Below are 21,590 nucleotides of genomic sequence, written 5' to 3' on the forward strand. Positions count from 1 at the left end.
AGACATGCAGGCACGGACATACAGAAACACATATGCAGGCAGTGCTTCCCCAAGTGAGGTATGCTTACTACCAGTGGGTGGTCCATGAGATCACTTTCAGTCCTATGTGGCTAAACTATTTTTTTTTTGAGACAGGGTCTCGCTCTGTCACCCACGCTGGAGTACCAGTGGAGCCATCATGGCTCACTGTAGCCTCAAACTCCTGGGCTCAGGTGATCCTCCCGAGTAGCTGGGACTATAGCACAAGCCATCACACCTAGCTCATTTCTTTTGTATTTTTTGTAGAGATGGGGTCTCGCCATGTTGCCCAGGCTGGTCTCGAACTCCTGGGCTCAAGCAACCCTCCCTCCTCGGCCTCCCAAAGTGATGAAATTACAGGAGTGAGCCACCGCACCCAGCCTATAAACTCATTTTTGAAAAATTAATGGCAATGTATTTATTACATCTATTAAGAAAAAAAATCAGGCTGGGCATGGTAGCTCACACCTGTAAACCCAGCACTTTGGGAGGCTGAGACGGGCGGATCATGAGGTCAGGAGATCGAGACCATCCTGGCTAACATGGTGAAACCCCATCTCTACTAAAAATACAAAAAAATTAGCCGGGCATGGTGGCGGGTGCCTGTAGTCCCAGCTACTCAGGAGGCTGAGGCAGGAGAATGGCATGAACCCGGGAGGCAGAGCTTGCAGTGAGCCGAGATCATGCCACTGCACTCCTGCCTGGGCGACAGAGCAAGAAGACTCTGTCTCAAAAAAAAAAAAAAAGAAAGAAAATCATATGTACACATCAAACTCATGACTTTATGGATATTATTCCTTAGGACAAGGATAAAGTTAAAAAAAATGTGATTTTTTTCTTTTTCCTCTTCTGGGGATATTGTCTAGAGGCACTGAGAATGTTCCAGCATTTGACATATTGTCATAGGCTTTCCTACGGTACAGCCTCTAACAAAACTAGGCTGTCCTGAGCCCCTCGTAATAGAATTGTTGACCTCTATACCTACAAAGTTGGGAAAGCACCAAAATCTGCATGTGGCGTGTGCCCAGGCAGACTTCAAGGGGTTCATGTTGTGAGGTCTAAAGTTCTTATGAGATTGTCCAAAACAAAAAACATGTCAGGAGGGCCTATGGTGGTTCCAGGTATGCTAAATGTGTTCGTGGCAGGATCAAGCCTGCTTTCCTTATGCAGCAGCTAAAAATCCTTATGAAAGTGTTGAAGGCACAAGCACAGACTCAGAAAGCTAAATAAAAACTGGGCTGGGGCTGGGCACAGTGGTTCATGCCTGTAATCCCAACACTTTGGGAGGCCAAGGTGGGCAGATCACATGAGGTCAGGAGTTCAAGACCAGCCTGGCCAACATGATGAAACCCCATCTCTACTAAAAATACAAAAATTAGCTAGGCGCAGTGGCTCATGCCTGTAATCCCAGCACTCTGGGAGGCCGAAGTGGGCAGATCACAAGTCAGGCGTTCGAGACCAACCTGGCCAATTACAGTGAAACCTCGTCTCTACTAAAAATACAAAAAATTAGCCGGGTGTGGTGGCAGGCACCTGTAATCCCAGCTACTTGGGAGTCTGACGCAGGAGAATTGCTTGAACCCAGGGGGCAGAGGTTGCAGTGAGCCGAGATCACGCCATTGCACTTCAGCCCAGGTGACAGTGCGAGATTCCGTCTCAAAAAACAAAAAACAAAAAAAAAAACCAAAAATTAGCCAGATGTGGTGGCACATACTTGTAATCCCAGCTACTTCGGAGGATGAGGTAGGAGAATCACTTGAATCTGGGAAGCGGAGGTTGCAGTGAGCCGAGATCGTGCCATTGCACTCCAACCTGGGCAACAAGACCAAAACTCCATCTCAAAAAAAAAAAAAAGGGCTGGGCATGGTGGCTCACGTCTGTAATCCCAGCACTTTGGGAGGCCGAGGCAGGTGGATCACTTGAGGTCAGGAATTGGAGACCAGTCTGGCCAACATGGTGAAACCCTGCCTCTACTAAAAATACAAAAATTAGCTGAGCGTGGTAGCACGTGCCTGTGGTCCCAGTTACTTGGGAGGCTGAGGCACAAGAAGCACTTAAACCCGGGAGGTGGAGGCTGCAGTGAGCCAGGATGTTGCCACTGCGCTCCAGCCTTTGTGGCAGAGCAAGACTCTGTCACACAAAAAAAAAAAAGAAAAAGAAAGAGAAAAAAAAGCTTTTTTTAAGAAATAAAAATTAATTAAAAGACTTTTAAAAAGAGAGTTAATCTAGAGAAAAATATTAAGTAGACAATGGCTCAAGAGGAATGACGATGTGGCAAAAGTTGTGACAAAAGTACACAAATGCTGTGTTTGGGAAACACACAGCTAGACACTCATCCAGAAAGGCCTGCCCAGACACGCTCAGCCCCAGACACGCTCAGCTCCAGCCACGCTACCCACCTGCTTGATGGGGTAGAGGGAGCCCACCCTCTGGGTGCCGCTGTAGGTCAGCCAGTTGGTGATCTCGCAGCTTCCCACCAGCCACTGGCGGCCCCGGAAGTCACTGTGTTCACATAGCACCCAACTGGGCCCAGCAGGTGTCAGGGACACAGAGAAGAGCACAGACACACAGACAGACAGACAGGTGGAGGAGGAGACACAGACGTCAAAACGTTCTCCACCTCCTCTTCTCCCATGGAGGGATTCCTCTGCCTGGAATAGGGTTCCCAGGGCGGAGAGGGAGGCTGGGAAGTAGATTTGGGGTTTTCAGGGTAAAGAAGGATCCTGAGAAGCCCACCAAGCTGGGGTCTAAGCCCTGAGAGCCAGTGACCCTTCTCAGTCCGCACTTCTCCCTCCTTCCTGGCTTGGAGGGGAGTGGGGGAAAAGTGGGGAGGGGAAAGAGGCCAGAGACCCCCAGGATCTCTGTCTTGCCATGACTCATCCCCACCAGCAGCCACCGCACCCATGCCTCCCCTCAGCACTCACATGCCCCCCTTGATCCGCACAGACAGCACATGGTTGTTGAAGCCCTCGGCTTGCAGGCTCCGCACCTCCCTGCTGAGCTCGATCTCCTTCCCCTCGAAGCACTCGAGTCCATACAGGAAAATGGAAGGCTCTGAAAAGTGCTGGGGCCCAGGAGACAGAAGAGGGTGAGGCTCTGAGAGCCCAAGTCCCAGACGCAGCCCCACAATCCCAGACACCCTGACTCCCAGATCTGTATGTCAGGCCTTCTTCCCTCCTGAGCTCAGTTCTGCAGGGCCACTGATTCTTGGACGCTGCCAGCCGAGTGCTCCTGATTCTCAGAGGCAGTAAGCGCTAGGCTGGGTCCCCAGTTTCCCCCTCAAACCTCCTCTCCAGTAAATAGCACTTCTCAGAACTAACCTGGCACTCTGAGCCAGGATGGAAACCTGGGGCTTATTCTAGGCTTTTTTTTTTTTTTTTTTTTGAGACAGAGTCTCACTCTTGTCACCCAGGCTGCAGTACAGTGGCGCGATATTGGCTCACTGCAACCTCTGCCTCCCGGGTTCAAACAATTCTTCTGCCTCAGCCTCCTGAGTAGCTGGGATTACAGGCACGCACCACCATCCCCGGCTAATTTTTGTACTTTTAGTAGAGACAGGCTTTCGCCATGTTAGTCTGGCTGGTCTCAAACTCCTGACCTCAGGCGATCTGCCTCCTTGGCCTGCCAAAGTGCTGGGATTACAGGGGTGAGCCACCATGCGCAGCTTAGATTTTTTTTTTTTTTTTTTGAGATAGGGTCTCGCTCTGTTGCCCAGGCTGGAGTGCAGTGGTGCAATCACGGCTCACTGTAGCCTCAACTTCCTGGGCTAAAGCAATCCTCCCACCTCAGCCTCCTGAGTAGCTGAGACTACAGGCACATGCTACCATGCCCAGCTAATTTTTTGTAGAGACAGGGTCTCACCATGTTGCCCAGGCAGGTCTCAAACTCCTAGGCTCAAGTGATCCTCCTGCCTTAGCCTGCTGAAGTGCTATAATTTATTTACTTTATTTTTTTGAGATGGAGTCTCACTCTGTCACCCAGGCTGGAGTGCAGTGGCGCAATCTCAGCTCACTGTAACCTCCACTTTTTAAGTTCAAGCAATTCTCCTGCTTCAGCCTCCCAAGTAGCTGGGATTACAGGCATGTGCCATCATGCCCGGCTAATTTTTGTAGAGACGGGGTTTCATCATGTTGGCCAGGCTAGTCTCAAACTCCTGACCTCATGATCTGCCCGCCTTGGCTTCCCAAAGTGCTGGAACTACAGGCGTGAGCCAACACGCCCGGCCCAAAGTGCTAGAATTATAGGTACAAGCCACTGCACTTGGCTTCATTCTAGATTTCTCCTTTTCATCTTCATGATAACAATAACAACAATAATAATACTGATAATAATAGCAGCTCACATTCATCAGGGTTTACTACAGGCCATGTTATGCTAAGTGCTTTACCTGATCTCATTATAACTCTTCAACAACCCTATAAGGTAGAAGCTATTATTATCCCCCACTTAATAGGGAGGAAACAGGCTGGAGAGGGTAAATCGCTTGCTCAGGGCCCTAAAGCTGGGCTTCAGAACCAGGTTTATTTGTCGTCAGAGCCCAGCGTGTCATTGCAAGGGACTTGGACCCCAGAACCAGCTGCCTGGGGGAGAGCCTGGCTTTGCCTGTTACCAACTATGTGACCTGGAGCCTGTGGCTTAGTTTCCACATCTGGAAAAGGGAGATAATAATGGTAACACACCTCTTAGCATTGTGGAGAAGATTAAAAGGCTTTAGTATATGTGGCAAGCCTTTTTTTTTTTTTTTTTTGAGATGGAGTCTTGTTCTGTCACCCAGGCTGGAGTACGGTGGCGTTATCAGGGCTAACTGCAACCTCTGCCTCCTGGGTTCAAGCAAATCTCCTGTCTCAGCTTCCCAAGCAGCTGGGATTACAGACGTGCACCACCACACCTGGCTAATTTTTGTATTTTTAGTAGAGATAGGGTTTCACCATGTTGGCCAAGCTGGTCTCGAACTCCTCACCTCAGGTGATCCACCCACCTCGGCCTCTCAAAGTGCTGGGATTACAGGCATGAGCCACCACACCTGGCTGGTGGAAAGCCTTTTAAACACCACCTGGCACATACTATGCACTCAGTAAGCATCACCTGTTCTGACTGGGTACTGCCCCCACTGGCCACACAGTCACCAAGTCCTACAGATGCTAGCCCCTTATTGTGGCCCCGTCACTTCCATCCATCTCTTCCTAGGTGGAGGACATCACAATTCATTCTGGGTCATTGTAGCAGCAACCCCACTGCCTTGCCCCTTCTCACTGGTCTGTGGCTGGCAGGGCCATCTTTCTAGCTGGTCCTGTCACTCCTCCCTGCATGGAACATCACCTTGGCAGCACTGGCCCCTGCCCCACCCAAGCCCTGAGTGTTAGTCCCACCATCCCCGCACCACTCCTGTATCTGGATGCACCACTCTGCATGTAATCTTTATGTCTATGGGATCATGGGTTCCTTACAGGCAGGGCTGTGTCTGATTTCTTTCCATGTCCCCAGGTCCTCTCTCAGTGGGTGCTCAATGAAGAGCTAGCAAACTAAACTGGCTTTACAGCCCCAGAGTCAAGGGGACCTGGGGCAGTTCTAAAAACACTGGAATCAACCCCTGCACCAGCACACAGGTTCTGTGTCCAGAAGTCCCACAGCAGCAACTTCTGCTTCCGGGATTGCCTGGAACCAGACATGGAAACTCACCAGGGATACCTTCTGGAGAGAGCCCAGGACTGTGGAGGCGAGGCAGCCCATGGCCGTGAGAGTGGGGAACTCGCCCTCAGAGAGAATGTGCTGGTCACCCTCGAAGTTCGTCTCATCAAACAGGATCCAGCTAGGGAAGGGGAAGAAATGGAGGGTATCTGAGCCTACCTGTCCTTGGCCTGCCCAGGTTCCCCTGAGATACAGAAGAGGGAATGCAGACTTGATCATGATCCCCTGTCCCAGGGGAGGTGGGATGAACAGGCACTACAGCAGCAGGGAATGAGGTCAGACCTAAGAAAAGACTGAATGAAATCATACTGCCCCTATGGAGGGGAATTTGGCAATATTAGGCAAAACTCCATGAGTAATTACTCAGCAATCTCATACCTAGGAATCCATCCCAAGGACACCATTTGAAAACATGAAATAACACATGCAGGGGGCTATTCATTATGGCACTTCTGCAATAGAAAAGGGGGGAAGCAGCCCAGATGTCCATCAATAGGGGATTGGAGCTGAATAAATTAAGAAAAAGTGGGCTGGGCGCGGTGGCTCACGCCTGTAATCCCAGCACTTTGGGAGGCTGAGGCGGGCAGATCACGAGGTCAGGAGATCGAGACCATCCTGGCTAACACAGTGAAACCCCGTCTCTATTAAAAATACAAAAGATTAGCCAGGCGTGGTGGCGGGCACCTGTAGTCCCAGCTACTCAGGAGGCTGAGGCAGGAGAATGGCATGAACCCAGGAGGCGGAGCTTACAGTGAGCTGAGATCACGCCACTACACTCCAGCCTGGGCAACAGAGCGAGACTCCGTGTCAAAAAAAAAAAAAAAAAAGAAAGAAAAAGTGGAGTATAATGCAGCAGTTAAGTGGAATGAAAAAGAGCTCTTAAAGGGATATAAAGTGATCTCCAAACAGATGAAAAAAGCAGGTGCATAACAGTGCTTATAGCAAACTTCCTTTAAAAAACTGAGATATAATTCACATGCCATAAAATTCACACTTTTTGTTGTTGTTATTGTTGTTGTTGTTGTTGAGATGGAGTTTCCCTATTGTTGCCCAGGCTGGAGTGCAATGGCGCGATCTCAGCTCACTGTAACCTCCGCCTCCTGGGTTTAAGCAATTCTCCTGCATCAGCCTCCTGAGTAGCTGGGACTACAGGCATGCGCCACCACACCCAGCTAATTTTGTATTTTTAGTAGAGATGGGGTTTCACCGTGTTGGCCAGGCTGGTCTCAAGCTCCTAACCTCAAGTGATCCACCCACCTCGGCCTCCCAGAGTGCTGGGATTACAGGCATGAGCCACTGCACCTGGCCAAAATTCACACTTTTAAGGTGTACAATTTAGTGTTTTTTTTATTATATTAACCCAGTTATAGTATGTTCCCTTTTATGTAATAAAATGGAGGAGAAGGAAAACAAAATATAAATATTTGGCTTCTATAGTTATATGGAAATGTATGAGTGTATATTTGCTTATATCTTAACAACAACAAAAAAGCCAGTGGATGAACACACCAAACCCCAAAAAAAAAAAAAAAAAAAAAAAAAAAAAAAAGATTTCTAACAGCGGGAGAGAGGGAGGGAAAAAGTTGGCAGGGACAGAGATGAAAGCTGTTGGCTTTGGAACTGTTATAGGCTGAATGTCTGTGTCCTCCCAAAATCATATGCTAAAGCCATAACCCTCAATGTAATGTTATTCAGAGGTGGGGCCTTTAGGAGGTAATTCGGTTTAGAGGGGGTCATGAGGGTGAGACCCCATGATGGGATTAGTGTCCTTAAAAGAAGAGGAAGAGGCCGGGTGCCGTGGCTCACGCCTATAATCCCAACACTTTGGGAGGGCGAGGTGGGCGGATCACCTGAGGTCGGGAGTTCGAGGCCAGCCTGACCAACATGAAGAAACCCCATCTCTGCTAAAAATACAAAAATTAGCCGGGTGTGGTGGTTCATGCCTATAATCCCAGGTACTCAAGAGGCTGAGGCAGGAGAGTTGCTTGAACCCGGGAGGCAGAGGTTTCAGTGAGCCGAGATTGCGCCATTGCACTCCAGCCTAGGCAACAAGAGTGAAACTCCACCTCAAAAAAAAAAAAAGAAGAGGAAGAGACAGGAGCTCATATTCTCTCTCTTCACTACATGAGAACACAGCAAGAAGGTGGCCTTCTGCAAGCCAGGAAGAAAGGCCTCACTCTGGAAGTGAAGTGGCCAGCACCTTGATCTTGAATTTCCTAGTCTCCAGAACTGTGAGAGAATAAATTTCTCTTATTTAAACCACACAGACTATGGTATTTTGTGATAGCAGCCTGAGCTAAGGCACCATGTAAATATTTCATGTAATAATTATTATTTTAGAGATAAAATCTCACTCTGTTGCCCAGGCTGGAGTGCAGTAGTGTGATCATAGTTTACTGCAGCCTCCAACTCCTGGGCTCAAACAATCCTCCCATCTCAGCCTCCTGAGTAGGTAGTACTATAGGTGCATGACACCACATCCACCTAATTAAAAATTTTTTTGTCAAGACAGGGTCTCCTTATGTTGCCCAGGTGATTCTTGAACTCCTGGACTCCTGCCTCAGCCTCCCAAAGTGCTGGGATTACAGGCATGAGCCACTGTGCCCAGCTTCATGGTAATTATTCATAGGAAAACAGAACTAGGGCCAGGTGCAGTGGCTCACACCTGTAATCCCAACACTTTGGGAGACCAAGAAGGGAGGATTGCTTGAGCCCAGAAGTTTGAAACCAGCCTAAGTAACAAAGTGAGACCCCCATCTCTACAAAAAAGTTAAAAAATTAGCCGGGCGCGGTGGCGTGCACCTATGGTCCCAGGTCTCAGGAGGCTGAAGTAGGAGAATCCCTTGAGCCCAGGAGGTCAAGGCTGCACTGAGCTGTGTTCACACCACTGCACTCCAGCCTGAATAAGAAAGTGAGACCCTGTCTCAAACAAAAACAAAAACAAATCCAGAAATAGATAAAAATGAAAAATATTCCTTAAAACTGAAAATAAATTAAATTAATGAACCTAATTGTATATTAGGTTGGTGACATAACCACACACACAAAAGTATTATTTCAAATGTGTTTAAGACACGGTAATTTGAACGAATATATAACAAATAGGTTATAGGTGAATATCTTGAGGACAAAAAGAACCACAAGAAGCCAGGCACGGTGGCTCATGCCTGTAATCCCAGCACTTTGGGAGGCCGAGGGGGGCGGATCATGAGGTCAAGAGTTTGAGACCAGCCTGACCAACATCATGAAACCCCATCTCTACTAAAAATACAAAAATTAGCTGGGCGTGGTGGCGGGTGCCTGTAATCCCAGCTACTCAGGCGGCTGAAGCAGGAGAATTGCTTGAACCGGGAGGCAGAGGCTGCAGTGAGCTGAGACAGTGCCACTGCACTCCAGTCTGGGCGACAGAGCGAGACTCCATCTCAAAAAAACAAACAAACAAAACAAACAAACAAACAAACAAAAAACAGGAAACTCCCAACAGCATTCAGTGGTTTTTACTATTAGTTGTAATAAGGGCATTATAACTTTGAAACACCTAGCATGCAGATTTTGGTCTCTACCATTTGCCACTAAAAAGAACCAGGGTTCCTTGGCAAATAGCCAATTCTAGATTTGGAGCAAAAAAAAAAAAAAATGTACAAAATGATCCTGGAGCATCTTATTATATCAAGAAAGTTATCAAAACTACTGGGGTCGCCGGGCGCAGTGGCTCACGCCTGTAATCCCAGCACTTTGGGAGGCCGAGGTGGGCGGATCACCTGATGTTGGGAATTCAACACCAGCCTAATCCACATGGAGAAACCCCATCTCTACTAAAAATACAAAATTAGCCGGGCTTGGTGGCCCATGCCTATAATCCCAGCTACTTGGGAAGGCTGAGGCAGGAGAATCGCTTGAACCTGGGAGGCGGAGGTTGCGGTGAGCTGAGATCGCGCCACTGCACTCCAGCCTGGGCAACAGAGCAAAACTCTGTCTCAAAACAAAACAAAACAATACAAAAAAAACTACTGGGGTCGGCCAGGCACGGTGGCTCATGCCTGTAATCCCAGCACTTTGGAAGGCCGAGGTGGCGGATAGCTTGAGCCCAGGAGTTTGAGATCAGCCTGGCCAACATGAGGAAACCTGGCCCAAGGACCTTATTTGGATGCTGAGAAAAACAAGTTAATTTCACAAAGGCATTTTTGAGACAATGGGAGAAATCTGAACACGGACTGGGTATTGGGTAATATGAATAAATTGTTATTAATTTTATTAGATGTGATAATGACTTGTAGCTACGTGGGGAAAATGTTCTTTCATATTAGAGACACACGTTGAAGTGTGTACCCATGAAATTTTACGTTGGGTCAGGGATTTAAAATACTCCACCGAAAATTTAAAAGAGCACACGGATAGAGGAAACAAGATTTATCTTTATATTATACAATCTACAGTTTTACATTTTCCATTAAAACCTTATTTTGTTTTAAAATTGCGCAAGACAGAACAGTTCATCGCAAGGTAGCCAAAGGAAGGAAATCATTTGAAAGACTCTCCTCCTGCAGCCCCGCCTCTGCCCCAGCGCCCCCAGCCCTCCGCCCCTCCACGTTCTCACCTGCCGCCGTGGACCCGGCAGGACTGAGGTCGGAAGGAGGCGGGCAGAGCGGCCTGGTCATCTTCGAAAGAGAAGTGGTCGCCCAGAAAGTCGGGGCGGGAGAAAAGCTGAATCTGGAGGCAGAGAGGGGAGATGAGGGGAAGGAGGACGATGGAGTGGGGCCGAGAACAGCGGGGAGGGGAAAGGTCCGAAATGAGGGGAGAGACGTGAGCCCAGCGGCTCCCTGCGGAGTCCCTGCCTTACCTTTGAGACGAAGTGCAGATCGTGCTCCCCGACCTGAAGGTAGGGACCGAATCGAGAATTAGGGAGGGTGCCGGCCCCTAGCCTTGTCTTCTCTAGGTTTCAGTACCGTCCACCCCGCGGCCGCGCCCTCGGCCCCGCCCCCTTCTAAGGCCCCGCCCCAAGCGCCCAGGCAGGTCCTCCAGCCCGCTACCTCTGCGTGGGGGCGGGGCGCACCCGAACTCCAGGTCCCGCCACCGGGGAGGCCCCGCCCCCCGCGGCCGGCACGCACCTGTAGGACCGGCTGCAGCGAGGCGAGGGTGCTGTTGCCAGCGCCCCAGTCCTCGCAGTTACGATACACGCCCTTCTCCAGCACGTACTGTTCCCCGGAGAAGCCCACCTCCTGGTAGGCCACCCACCTGCAGGAAGGGCGGGGCGCGAGTCAGCTGGGACGGAGCCTGCACCTCTCCTGGAACCGCCCCCGGCTCGCCCGGGCCCGCCCCGCTCCCGGAGCCCGGGTCACTTACACGCCGCTGAGCACGTGGATGGCCTGTGTGCTGGGGCCGTGTTGCACCAGCTCCACATCCGGCAATGCCTTGCTCACCTCCACGCCGTGCCCCTCGAAGTCCATGGCCTCAAATAGCACGACGGCCGGGTCCCCGAAGTCCTGGGTCCCCAGGGACAGTCAGGTCTCTCCCGCCCACAAACCGAAACCCCTGGGAGTGCCCAGACCCCAGGGTCACAGCCCACCCGGGGAATTAGGGGTGAGGCTGTCAGTACGACCTGGAGAAGAGCAGCAGGGGAAGAGAGGCTAGACCTCTGGGAACACTTACAGGGAGAACACGGAGAGGGGGTACAAATTCTTCCCTCCACAAACTGTACTGGGGGAGGTCTGGCTGTGGCCAGAGGCAGAGGGATGGGCCAATTGCCTTTGCTTACCGTCCGGATGACCCGGAGGGAGGTCAGCAACTCGTCATAGCCTCCCCAGTGTGACCAGTCTGGGTATTCCCCCTCCTCCAGCAGATACTGGTGGCCCCGGAAGCCCTCCTTCTCGTAGCCCACCCAGCTGGGAAAAGCAGGAGGACAGACAGGCAGGTTCAGTCATAGGAGGCCCATGGATGAATGAGACAGCTGTCCCCACCCCTACGCAGCCCAGGTCACTCCCCACTCCCAAGGGTAAAGGCCAGAGGTGATGAAATAGAAGGAAGGGTCCTGAGTTCTCACCAGCCTCCGAGAACTCTCAGGGACCCCACAGAGGCCAGGTGGGGGCTCTGGCTGTCCTCTGGCTGCTGAAGGTTGTAGATGTCTCGGCTCACTTCCCAGCTGCGGCCCTGAAAGCCTGGGGCCTCATACACCACAGCCTGGGGGAAAGGGGCTGTCAGGAGTCATCTGGACCCAAACACACCCAGCCAGCTCAGGAATGGCTCTGCCCAGCATCAGGCCAATGTGGCACCCCCCAGCCCTCCCACCTCCTTGCTGAACTCCATCCCCTTACCCAATTCCTATCTCTACTCTGACCTCTGACCTTCTTACACATCAAAAGCCAGTTCCCAGTGAGCCCATCAGGTCCCATCCCCCCAGACCGTGCTTCTGGCCCCCAGTGCCCTCCTCTCTGGATTTCCTGTCCAGACCACGATAACCAAACACCTGCACCCCGCCACCAAAGGCCCTCTTTGGCTCTTAAGCCCAGACTCTTACCCTGGGCTCCCCTGGCTTCTCCACACTTGGGCAGCCCTGCAGAGGAGACAGAGCTGAGACACCAGCCCAGAGATGGGAAAGACAGATGGGGCTGCGGATCTAGGATTTTCCTGATCCTGAGAACCCCAACCCCATGTCTTCCCTTTTCCCCTACCTCTTAGGTTAATCCCTACCTCTCCTCCCACTCCCATTCCCAATAGAAGCTCCCAGGAAGCAGTCTCCAAGGGGTGCTGTTTTACACTTCATCCCCCATCCCTTCCCACAGACTGCAGGACCAGCTACTTGGGACCAGGGGCAGAGCCTAGACCTCCTGGCCTGTGGGTGTGCCCTGTTCTTTACCAATCTCATGGGCTTCAGGGAGCCCACGCTGGGGTCCGATGTGCCCCAGGCCTCTGAGGTGGGGTACTCTCCAGGTTCCAGGATGTAGGGAGTGTCTTCGAATAATGGTTTGGGGTACAGTAGCCACCTAGGGGAAACAGAGAGGCTGCTGCACCCTAGCAGAGAGACTTCAAGGGACACAGATTGGTGGGCGGGAGGGAAGGTTTAGAGTGGAAAAGGAGGTTTTCTGGGGAGGTTCCCATCAGTCTCGTATAATCTCTTGCAGTAGCCACATTGGTCTCCCTTCCTCTGGCTTTGCCTTCTCTAATTTCACACAGCAGCTGGAGCATTTTTCTCTAGCATGCATGGAAAACTGCTTCAATAACCCCAGTAGTTCCCTGTTAGCCTCACAATAAAGCCCGGCTATGCAAAGAGGCTCTGCAATCTGGCCTCTTCCTTCTCCCTGGGCCTCAGTTCTTCCCACTTGTTGCTTATGCTGGCTACACTGAAAATTTGAAGCTTAGCTGTCTCCTCTCTGGGCCTTTGCATGTGCTATTCCCTCTGCCAGATATACTCTTTTCCCCATTTATTCAATTGACAAATATTTAGAAGCATCTGCTCTGTGCCAGACCCTGCTACAGGCATCAGGGATACAGTGGTGAACAAGCATACACAATCTCTGCCCTCATGGAGCTTAGATTCTTGGCCAACTCATCCCAGCATGGTGTCTCCTCCTCCAGGAGGGTTTCTCTGACTTCCACACTCTGCCTCTCATGGTATGGTGTTTTTCTGTGCTCCCTCACCCCAAAACACTGAATTGCTATTGTCTGCTTACTTGCCTGTCCCCACCAGTGGACTGAGCACTCCTGAAGGCAGGAACTGTGTTCTGTCACCTCTGTGTCCCCAGCACCCAGCACAGTGAATGTCAAATGAGGGGATTCTAGAATAGACCAGACTCACAGTCCTGCAGAGACGGTGGCAGATGCCACCTGCAGGGGCTTCTCCAGACCCTGGGAATTCTTCAAGGCCTCTGTTAGCTTCACTTGCTCCCCCTTGAGGCCCTCCTCAGAGAAGAGGCTGATTTCCGGGGTGCTGTAGTCCTGTGGAAGGAGGGGGAAAATTAAATATAGATAAACAGCCAGGCGTGGTGGCTCACGCCTGTAATCCCAGCACTTTGGGAGGCCGAGGCGGGCAGATCACCTGAGGTCAGCAGTTCGAGACCAGCTGACCAACATGGAGAAACCCAGTCTCTACTAAAAATACAAAATTAGCTGGGCATGCCCGTAATCCCAGCTACTCGGGAGCCTGAGGCAGGAGAATTGCTTGAACCTGGGAGGCAGAGGTTGCGGTGAGCCGAGATCATGCCATTGCACTCAAGCCTGGGCAATAAGAGTGAAACTCCGTCTCAAAACAAAAAAAAAAAAGAAAGAAAAGATATATAAATAGCCCCCCTTGGACAACACCCCGCTTCCCCAAGTCCATTTAGCCAAGGCTCCAAATAGCTTCTGAGAAAACCTTTGTAGCCATTCCCCCAGAGACCAGGAAAGTGACTAGGGTGGTCTTTGCAAGGTCAGCCAGCCAAGCCTAAGACCAAAGCCTGTGCTGGTCCTTTGCTGAACCTTTGGGACCTGGGACAGAAGTTCCCGGGAGAACCTGCAAAGTGCCAGGCCCATAGCCTTGCCTCTGGGTAGCCTGACTTCCAGCCTGGTGGGAGGATGGGCAAGATGGACAGCCACTTCCTGAGTTCCAACTTTGACTCCTTCTTTAGGTACGGTTCCTGCCTCTGTCCAGACTGGCTTTGCCTGCACGTCATCCCAGGAAGCAGCAGATCCTCTTTGTATTCTGAGTGTTTCTTCCCCACCAGGACCATTTTCATTCACTCACTCATTCATCAAATATGTACGAAGCATCTACTGCATGCAAGGCACTGTGCTAAGGTCATGTCCTACCCTATCTCATTTAGTCCTCCCAGTGGGCATTATTCATCCAGTCACAGGTAAGGAAAGTGAGGCACGGAGAAGTTAAGCAACCTGCCCAAGGTCACACAGCTTGTAAGTAGCAGAGCAGTATAGTTTTTGTTCACTGTTGCAACCCAGCACCTCCCATGTGCTTGGCATACAACAGGCACCTAATCAATGCTGAATGAATCAAAGGAATCCAGAAACATCTGACTTCAAAGCCTTTACCTCCCACATGAAGACAAATTTATTGTCAGAAGTTCACAATTAATTGTCCACAAACATTTGTGTGTTTCTGGAGAGGCTTTGTTTTTTTTGTTGCTTTTTTTGTTTTTGTTTTTTGAAATGGAGTTTTGCTCTTGTTGCCCAGGCTGGATTGCAGTGGTGTGATCTTGGCTCACCGAAACCTCTGCCTCCCGGGTTCAAGCGATTCTCCTGCCTCAGCCTCCCAAGTAGCTGGGATTACAGGCACCCGCCACCATGCCCGGCTAATTTTTTGTATTTTTTTTAGTAGAGACAGGGTTTCATCAGGTTGGCCAGGCTGGTCTTGAATTCCTGACCTCAGGTGATCCACCTGCCTCAGCCTCCCAAAGTGTTGGGATTACAGGCGTGAGCCACCGCGTCCAGCCTCTGGAGAGGCTTTGTAAACTATCCCCTCCTCCTGGGCCACTGTCCTAGTTAAGCCTAATGAGCGCTCATCATCTCCTACCAGGAAGATTGCAACAGCTCTGGACTCAGTTATTCATTCTTTCATTAGAAACGAAAATCAGGCCGGGCGCAGTGGCTCACGCCTGTAATCCCAGCACTTTGAGAGGCCGAGATGGGTGGATCACGAGGTCAGGAGATCGAGACCATCCTGGCTAACACGGTGAAACCCCGTCTCTGCTAAAAATACAAAAAAAAATTAGCCGGGCATAGTGGCAGGTGCCTGTGGTCCCAGCTACTTGGGAGGCTGAGGCAGGAGAATCGCGTGAACCCAGGAGGCGGAGGCTGCTGTGAGCCGAGATCATACCACTGCACTCCAGCCTGGGCAACAGAGCGAGACTCTGTCTCAAAAAAAAATAAAAAAATCAAACAAACCAAAAGAACCAAAATGCCTGATAGACACTGCTTTTACAGTCATTGCTCTTCCTTCTCGTGTCAAGCTTAATTTCAGTAGTTTATTACTGTGCGGTGAAAACAATGTTGTTGTTTTCACAGCACAGCACATGAAATTATAATTTTTTTTTACTCTTGTTGCCCAGGCTGGAGTGCAATGGCATGATCTCAGCTCACCGCAACTTCCGCCTCCCGAGTTCAAGCGATTTTCCAGCCTCAGCCTCCTGAGTAGCTGGGATTATAGGCGCCCACCATCAAACCTGGCTAATTTTTGTATTTTTAGTAGAGACAGGGTTTCACCACGTTGGCTGGGCTGGTCTTGAACTCCTGACCTCAGGTGATCCCCCAACTTGGCCTCCCAAAGTGCTGGGATTATAAGCGTGAGCCACTGCGCCTGGCCTTTGAAATTATAATGTTAACTTTTCAAACCACACAGCCCTTCCTCAAAAATTAGAGGTGCCCCTGGCTGGAAATCACAGCCCTTCTTGGTCTCCCTGCCTCCAGGATCCCTCTTTTTTCCACCTGGCAGCCAGTGGGATGTTTATAAATCCCTAGTCTGGCTATATGGCGTCCCTGCTCCAAACCCAATCCTCACAGCCTAGCTTGACTGTAAGTCCTGAAGGGCAAAGAGGAGATCTCCCCCCACTGCCTATTGCCTGGCACCGGTGCCTGGCACATATTAGACATGAGTGAGCATCTGTGAGCAAATGAATGAGCAAACATGCCTGGCACCTCGGGTCTGACTGGGGGCCTGCATGCTGGCTCCTGGGGGGCAGGTAACCCCCACGTTCCCTCCCATCTTGTCTCTGCTGCTCTGTCCCCTTCCTGCTTGAGCATCCACTCAAACTTCCCCAGGCTGCTTTCCCAAGCTGAGCTTGGCCTCTGCCTGGGCCCTGACTCCTCAAGCCAGGCTGCCCATTCCCCAGAATCTCTTTCTTCCCCAGTCAGCTCCACGGTCAAGAATCTATGGACCAGTCCACATTAAGCCCCTCTGCCCACTACCCCATAAGATCTCTGCCAGGAATTTCTTTTGAAACGGAGTCTCACTCTGTTGCCCAGATTGGAGTGCAGTGGTGCAATCCAGGCTTACTGCAACCTCTGCCTCCCGGGTTCAAGTAATTCTCCTGCCTCAGCCTCCTGAGAAGCTGGGATTACAGGCGCATGCCAGCACACTCGGCTAATTTTTGTATTTTTAGTAGAGACGGGGTTTCACATGTTGGCCAGGCTGGTCTCCAACTCCTGTCCTCAGCCGATCCACCTGCCTTGGCTTCCCAAAGTGCTGGCATTACAGGCGTGAGTCACTGCTCCTGGCCTCGGGGATTTCAACTCTAGGCACTCGAGGCCGTCTCCCACCTCCAACTCACTCACCCAGACAACCCTCCTTAGGGAGCCGATGCCTTGGGGACTCCACTTTGTCCCTGGGGTTCTGAGTTCCATGTCTCCTTCAGGCAGGACCAGCTTCTGACCCCGGAACTCTGGCTCTTCGTACAGCACCCAGCTGTGGGCACAGAGATTCCAGGATCACAGATGGGGAGGAGGATGTGCCCAGGGCTGCTGGGTAGCTGATGGGGTTTCTCCCAGGCTGGACTGGTCACTCCTCACTCCCCTCTGCATCCCCCCAGGTTCACAGCCAAGTGCCTTGCTGGGCACTCCCCACTCACCAGCCTCGAACTACCCTTATGGAGGCTACGGGGGCCCAGCCTGAGGCATCAACGATGTCTCCCCAGACCTCCCTGCCACTGCCTTGGCAGCCAGACTCTGAGAAGAAGATCACCTGAGAAGGCACAGAAGGGGTCCTCAGGCCCTGACCCCAGGCCCCTGCATCCTGCTGCCCCCACCCACTTGCCCCCACAACCCTACCTTTCCAGGCCTGGTGTTCAGCTTGCCCTGGGTCTTTAAGGCTGGGCTCTGAAACGGAGGCAGGTGATAAAGAAGTCCTGTGGGGTCACCTCTTTTCTGCCTCCCCACAACCCGCCATTCCAAGGATCCCACATCCTCCCTATTAACCTCCACCCGCAAGGAGCTGGCGCATAGAGGATGCTCACACTTGTTCCCAACCCCCAAGGGCCTCATCACCCTGTCCCAGGAGCTTGGTGCTCATCACCCGCCTTCCTCAGCTCCCAGGATCTTGGAGCCCCCACACCCTTTGGAATCCACAGTACAAACCTCCCACAGTAGGGATAGGGATAGGGAGATTGAGGCCCAGAGAGATGTGGCTTGCACAGGTCAACTGAACCAGACTTCAGACAGAAGCCTCTGCCCCCAGACTCTGACTCCCAGCACCACTCTCTTCACACCACTCAAGCCTTGACCCAGGTGAGGCCAGGCACCTCCCTTGCCCACCCGAGGCCTCACTTACCCACCCCTCCAGGGGCAGGGAACAGGCAAGCTTCTCCGTTGGGGATGATCTTTCACTGCAAAGCAGGGGCAACTGTCCTGGCACCTTCCTGAGCCCCGGTGCCCCATGGGGCAGCAGAGCAGATAGTTTTGTGCCCAGCGGTTCCGGGGTGGAGGCCTCCTTGGCGGTAGGCACCAGACTGCCGAACAGAAGGCTGCCTCCAAGACGGGAAGTGGGCCTGCTGCCTCCCTGCAGTTCCAATCCCAGCTCTGAGTGGGGGCCCTTGGTTCCTGCTACATGCTTCTTCATCATCTCCAGAGGAGAGCAGGAGACCTGGGTGGGTCTGGCAGGGTGGAGGTCCCTGGAGGGGCTGGGCCCAGCTTTCTCCTGCCTGCGCTGGAGCTTCTCATCGTCACTCAGATAGGGGTTCTCTGGTTCCTCCTCCTCCTCCTCCTCTTTCTCTTCCAGTGAAGGCACCTCCTGGGGTCCGGGGCCCAGCACCCATGGCCCCAGCTGGTCCTCCTCAATGGCAGGCAGCGTGGCGTACATGGACAGGTAGGAGGAGCGAGGGGCTCGTGGCAGCCGGTGAGTGCGGAGGATCTCAGGGGGCTCCATGCTCCGCAGCGTATCCAGGAATATCTCCAGGTCAGCGGCCAGGGCCACCTCATCCTCCTCCCTTGATGTCTCTGTGCACGTCTTGCCCTCGGTGGGATCAGAGACAAGCTGGGACTCCGTGCTGGCCTCTGCTCCTGTTGGCACTGGGGCAGGGGTGCCTCCTGGGCTGGGGGACACCCTGTCCACTGAGGAAGATGGGGCAGGGAGAGCATCAGGGTCCTGCACAACCTCTTTCTGGGTGAGAGATGAGATGGGGCTCCCTTCAGAGTCCTGGACCCCCTTATCCTGTTTGGGGAGTGAGGTGGCAGGAGCAATTGGGCCTTGAACAGTCTCTTCCTTGGTGAGGGGCGGGGCAAGGCTGCCTGCAATACCCTGGACAGCCTCTTTTTGGATGCTACTGCTGCCTTTTGGGCCCTGGACAACCTCAGTTGACTTGGGGGACAAGGCAGCAGGAGCACCAGACCCCTGCACCACCTCCTTCTGGGTGGGAGATGAGGCAGCAGGAGCACAGGGGCCCTTCACAACCTCTTTCTGGGTGGGCGATGAGGCAGCAGGAGCACCAGGGCCCTTCACAACCTCTTTTGGGGTGGTGGACAAGGCAGCAGGAGCACCAGACCCCTGCACCACCTCCTTCTGGGTGGGGGATGAGGCAGCAGGAGCACCAGGGCCCTTCACAACCTCTTTCCAGGTGGGAAATGAGGCATCAGGAGCACCGGGGCCCTTCACGACCTCTTTCCAGGTGGGGAACAAGGCAGCAGGAGCACTGGACCCCTGCACCACCTCCTTCTGGGTGGGAGATGAGGCAGCAGGAGCACCAGGGCCCTTCACGACCTCTTTCCAGGTGGGGGACGAGGCAGCAGAAGCACTGGACCCCTGCACCACCTCCTTCCGGGTGGGAGATGAGGCAGCAGGAGCACCGGGGCCCTTCACGACCTCCCTCTGGGTAAAGGGGAGGACAGGGACATTTTCAGAGTTCTGAACAAACTTATTCCTTGGGGACGATGGAGCAGAAAGACCTCCTGGGCTGGGGACATCCTTCCTTCTTGTAGTGGATGGAGCAGGAGGTTGTCCAGGGACTGTCACATGCTCGCTCCTCACCATGGGCAGGACGGTGGCAGCAGGGGGGTCCACGGGCCCGTCCTTTTTTTTAGGGGGCAGAACAAGGGGAGTGAGCCGGGCCCCGGGGTGAGTGGGCACCACAGGCTGCTTTGCAGGGTGAGTTAGGCCAGGAGAGGGGACATGGGTCTCGAGTCTGGGAGAGGAGGGGACTGATGCTTGACCCTGAGAAGTCTGGAGAGGGAGCTCAGTGGAACTGGGGGCTCCCAGCACCTGCCAGAGCTCACAGGCCCTGGCATCCGGGGCTCTGCCCTGGTCTCTGTCCGGACAGGCTGCAGGGGCATCCTGATTCTTAGGCAGGTGAGCACTGGCTGGGATGCCTGTAGAGGCCAGGGCAGAGCTGTCTTTAAGCTCTGCTGTCCCGGTCTCAGGCAGCTGCCTCAAGGCTGCCCCCACTGTGCTGCCCAGACCTGTGCTCCTTGGCCCGCCAGCCGTGGGCCTGGGCAGGTGACTGGCAGGGGGGCTGTGCCCAGCAGGCACGAGGTTACTTAGCACTTTCACGGCCTGGCTGCGGCTGGGCGAGCCTGGTGGGGAGCCCACCACCACTGGCGGCACCATGCGGGAGACCTGACGGCCCCGTGGCAGGGCCTCGCCTGAGGACACTGGCCTCACAGTCACAGAGCTGCTCATCCGCCGGTCCACATGACCTCCCACCACTGTGGTGGTCCGCACAGTGCGTGTCACTCGGTATTCCTCGAGGCTCCGGGAGCTACCACTGGTGAGACCTACACCTGGGTGGGGACTTGGCTCTCGGGGCCCAGGCAGGGGAACCAAAAGCTCAGTCCTGGCCATAGCTCCCACACATGGGGGCTCAGTCCTGGGAGCTTGGCGGCTGCCATCACTCTGGTCCACAGCCTCCTTCAGCCTCCCCTCAGGCCTTTTCTCCTTGGGAGGTGGTATGTACTTCTTGGAAAAGATGGGTCCATGGCTCTGGAAGTTCTTGGAGCCAGCTGTATCCCGAGGGCCCTGGCAATTCACAGTCTCTTCTTCCTGTGTTGCAAAGCCATTGACTTCCACTTCCTCTCGACGGCTGAACTCAAACATCTCCTTCTGCGGGGCTTCCATCTGGGCCCCTGACACCAGGGACACCTTGTGAAAACCATGTTTGATCTCTTCCTGGGTGGGGGGCCGCTGCCGCCATGTCAATGTGGCACTTACCACTCGGGCCTTGGCCCGGGCCATGGGCCCACCTGCCTCCTCCATGTGGGGCCCTGGCAACCTGTCTGGAGGTGTCCTTGTCCCACTGTGGTCCAGCTCCCTGCAGAGGAATAAGAAAGATGAGGGTCAGAGGGTGGTGAGAGTGGCTTCCTAAAGTGCAGAATAACCACCCCTACCCAAGTCAGGCTGGGAACCTCAGGCAAATCGCTTGGCCTTTTTGGGCCATTGCTTTCTCATCTGTGAAATGGGCATGGTAGTCTCAGCTCTGATTTGGTTGATCAGAGCCCCTCATCCATCCCTCTCCCTGACTTTCAGGTGATCTCCTAGGTCAGGGTCCTTCAAAGGTGAAGCTGAGGCCTGAGCCCAGAAGGAGAGAAAAGGAAGAAGGCAGAAGGGAAGATGCAGCTGACCCACAGGTCTATAGGGGGGCTGGGACTCTGCCCACAGAGCCCTAGGTCTAGTCCCCCAGGAGCTGAAAACTAGAAAGCCGAAAACTGGGCAAGCGTTGTTCTAACTCTGTTCAGGGAAGATGGGCTTTGGCCTCAAGCAGAGCTGGGTTCCTTAGTTGCTCACTAACTGGCCATTTCTTCTGTTCAAGCATCAGGGTCCTCAGCCACAAAACTGGAGTCTTGCCAGAGTCCAGTAAGAGAAACAATGAAACCTCCCCCTGCGTTTTTTTTTTTTTTTTTTTTTTTTTGTGAGACAGAATCTCACTCTGTTACCCAGGCTGGAGTGCAGTGGTATGATCTTAGCTCACTGCAGCCTTGAA

At 52.8% G+C, this 21,590-nt stretch overlaps 1 protein-coding gene and 1 pseudogene across 5 annotated transcripts in view, besides 4 other annotated features; one reads left to right on the top strand and one right to left on the bottom strand.

Annotated features, from left to right (window-relative positions):
* The window catches only part of CRYBG2 (crystallin beta-gamma domain containing 2), a 32,266-nt gene that overhangs the window by 3,927 nt on the left and 6,749 nt on the right, over window positions 1-21,590 (bottom strand). For 4 of the 5 annotated variants that reach the window (XM_005245918.3, NM_001039775.4, XM_011541673.3 and 1 more), the window contains exons 2-17: window positions 17,954-20,921; window positions 17,455-17,502; window positions 17,256-17,368; window positions 16,963-17,092; window positions 13,499-13,638; window positions 12,560-12,686; window positions 12,221-12,256; window positions 11,747-11,883; window positions 11,462-11,588; window positions 11,050-11,189; window positions 10,815-10,941; window positions 10,547-10,579; window positions 10,304-10,416; window positions 5,698-5,827; window positions 2,943-3,082; window positions 2,418-2,541 (exon numbers count right to left, since the gene is read on the bottom strand). In XM_005245918.3, the coding sequence (XP_005245975.1) occupies window positions 2,418-2,541; window positions 2,943-3,082; window positions 5,698-5,827; window positions 10,304-10,416; window positions 10,547-10,579; window positions 10,815-10,941; window positions 11,050-11,189; window positions 11,462-11,588; window positions 11,747-11,883; window positions 12,221-12,256; window positions 12,560-12,686; window positions 13,499-13,638; window positions 16,963-17,092; window positions 17,256-17,368; window positions 17,455-17,502; window positions 17,954-20,866 (4,578 nt within the window). In that variant the 5' untranslated portion in view covers window positions 20,867-20,921. The remainder of the gene's footprint in view (window positions 1-2,417; window positions 2,542-2,942; window positions 3,083-5,697; window positions 5,828-10,303; window positions 10,417-10,546; window positions 10,580-10,814; window positions 10,942-11,049; window positions 11,190-11,461; window positions 11,589-11,746; window positions 11,884-12,220; window positions 12,257-12,559; window positions 12,687-13,498; window positions 13,639-16,962; window positions 17,093-17,255; window positions 17,369-17,454; window positions 17,503-17,953; window positions 20,922-21,590) is intronic. The other variant, XM_011541672.2, reaches the window with a different exon arrangement.
* Window positions 850-1,251, top strand: RPL34P4 (ribosomal protein L34 pseudogene 4; annotated as a pseudogene).
* Window positions 2,971-3,478: an enhancer, noted in NCBI's record as "H3K4me1 hESC enhancer chr1:26655253-26655760 (GRCh37/hg19 assembly coordinates)". NCBI's record gives its function as "activates a minimal SCP1, AML or CMV promoter by ChIP-STARR-seq in primed H9 embryonic stem cells {active_cell/tissue: H9 hESC(primed)}" and the evidence as "EXISTENCE:reporter gene assay evidence [ECO:0000049][PMID:30033119]".
* Window positions 10,597-10,976: a silencer, noted in NCBI's record as "silent region_476". NCBI's record gives its function as "represses an Ori minimal core promoter by ATAC-STARR-seq in GM12878 lymphoblastoid cells {active_cell/tissue: GM12878}" and the evidence as "EXISTENCE:reporter gene assay evidence [ECO:0000049][PMID:35858748]".
* Window positions 11,117-11,176: an enhancer, noted in NCBI's record as "active region_498". NCBI's record gives its function as "activates an Ori minimal core promoter by ATAC-STARR-seq in GM12878 lymphoblastoid cells {active_cell/tissue: GM12878}" and the evidence as "EXISTENCE:reporter gene assay evidence [ECO:0000049][PMID:35858748]".
* Window positions 20,536-21,289: an enhancer, noted in NCBI's record as "H3K4me1 hESC enhancer chr1:26672818-26673571 (GRCh37/hg19 assembly coordinates)". NCBI's record gives its function as "activates a minimal SCP1, AML or CMV promoter by ChIP-STARR-seq in naive H9 embryonic stem cells {active_cell/tissue: H9 hESC(naive)}" and the evidence as "EXISTENCE:reporter gene assay evidence [ECO:0000049][PMID:30033119]".

The sequence above is a fragment of the Homo sapiens genome, chromosome 1 (genome assembly GCF_000001405.40).
Source record: "Homo sapiens chromosome 1, GRCh38.p14 Primary Assembly".
Classification (NCBI taxonomy): Eukaryota; Metazoa; Chordata; class Mammalia; order Primates; family Hominidae; genus Homo; species Homo sapiens.